At 36.6% G+C, this 2,099-nt stretch overlaps 1 annotated feature.

Moving 5' to 3' along the window:
- Nucleotides 1,350-1,519: an enhancer, noted in NCBI's record as "experimental_93800 CRE fragment used in MPRA reporter constructs". NCBI's record gives its function as "activates a minimal promoter by MPRAs in K562 erythroleukemia cells, with activity observed for the non-introgressed 6:66652896 variant allele {active_cell/tissue: K562}" and the evidence as "EXISTENCE:reporter gene assay evidence [ECO:0000049][PMID:34662402]".

The following is a 2,099-nucleotide window of genomic DNA, read 5'->3' on the forward strand; positions in this document are numbered from 1 at the left end:
TCAATTGACACAGTTATTGAACTCAGTCATCCCTATGCTAGAATCTGTGCTTTTAACAACTAAAGTATTGCTCCATGTTAGTCAACAATGCTATCAAGGCTCCAAGCTTCCATGATCCTTGGGTGGGATCATCCTTAACATGTGGCTTTTGTCTTCTTGGCAGTGGGACAAATAATTCGTGCCTTAGCATAAGGCATTCCAGGCAAGGAGTAAAAAACATGTTTCATATTTGTGTTATGGTTATGTGTTTCCAGTCTCCAATTTCCTCAAGGGGCCCTATGTCTGTATACGGGGCTCTGTTCTCTCTTCATAGCTAAATTCAGATCTCTGTTCACTAGATCTGCAGAATTTTCAGTTTGCAAGTTAAGTTTTGACTTGAAGCGCTGACCGTCTCTTTTGGTCTGAGCAACCCCAAGATAAATTAATCACCATTAGGGATTCCTTTAGGCCACAGCATTTTGATCACCACTCCCATTTGTCTCTTTTAAGGCAGTCATGCTTACTTCATCATTTACTTCTATCATTTACATTGAAAAGATAATAATTTCTACTGCAGCAACAGCAGCCCTGGTCATCTTTGCCCTATAAATAATAAAAATTAGCACTTTCTATAACACTCATACTTCACTTATTAATCCTTTCTAACACCTAGAGAAATGACTATATTTTGGGCTCTCTTGATTCAGTTAGAGGTAAGCGGGCACATATGATATACCTGCTCCCAAATTATTTTCTTTATAATTCTTAAGATTTGTTATTTTGTATCACCTGAGAAACTTTTGCAAAATAAAAATTTTGGAGCTTTTCTTCACAATTTAAGTAGAATTTCTGGAGGTGGAAATTTGGGAATCAGTATGTTTTAAATAGCACTTCAGGTGACTCTTACGTGCACCTAACCTTATTGAGCATGTAACACTGTAGTACCCACTGCACCTAATTCACAGGATAAATAACCACATCTATTTTATAGCTGCTAGAACTAGTACGCTTTTTCAGATATACCTATTGAGTTCAGATTAAGTATTAGCTACTCTTTTAGGGTTGTAGGGTGTATCACTGAGTAACAACATCAACAAAACTTGTATAAGCAATCCATAATTTCTGGTAAATGTAGGTTTTAAAAAATAGAGCTCCTCTAAAATATATTTTGATTTTCTTGTTTTAGCATCCTCAAAACCCATTTCCACAATTCTTTCCAGGTTTCATCTATTATAAATGAGCAACCTCTTCCAGCTCATGAGTTAGAAATTCCTAGGATACGCTAGCATCTTATTCTAGTTTTATATTTGGAAACTGTTATGGTGCGTGGAGGTGATAGGAACTGACAATGGCTTGCAAGAAACCTGACTCTGGTTACCTAAAGACTACCTTCTTATCACAGAAGAAAATGTGAACATTCCCTCATGACTTTTCATCAGTTAGCAAGAGTTCTATCTATTAATAATACCAAAGATTTTATGTCCATCTTCCTCAACAAGGCCACATAACCAATTTCAGAATTGCTTAGTTTCTGTGAAGCTTTTTAGTTGGCAGCGTTTCCTAGAACACATTTTTGTTTTGATCAGGGTTTTTAGTTATAAGCAAAAGAAGCCGATCCTATGTAAAGAACATTGGGCAATTCACTGACAGTTTTAGAGACTAGAGAAGCAACTTCAAGACTAAGCTGCCAAAAAAATGGCTGTAAATGTAATTCTATAGAACGGGCCTGAGGAGCCAAAAATGACACAGTTGATTCTGCTGTCAGGACTTGGATTTATTCCAATCACTGCTTCTTTTAACAAAAATTCCTCCTCTGTTTCTGAAACTCAACTTTGTAACTATTAATATCCCCCACATTTGAACATCCTCTGCCACAAACACCAGCAAAGTGAAATCTACAGGGAGTCCTTTTCATCAAATCACATTCTTCTGAATTTAGGACTACACAAGTGATTATGATTGAAGTTGCCTAGCTCAGATGAACTTAAATTAGCTTTAGCTGTAGCTAGAAAAGATCCTCTATATTCTTTGGCTTCTCTTCTCCAGGGAACAGAAATTTATAAGCAGGGAAAATTTACAAACATAGCAAGGATGTTCAACAATCGTGGGTGCAAAATGCA

This window comes from Homo sapiens, chromosome 6 (assembly GCF_000001405.40).
Source record: "Homo sapiens chromosome 6, GRCh38.p14 Primary Assembly".
Taxonomy (NCBI): domain Eukaryota; kingdom Metazoa; phylum Chordata; class Mammalia; order Primates; family Hominidae; genus Homo; species Homo sapiens.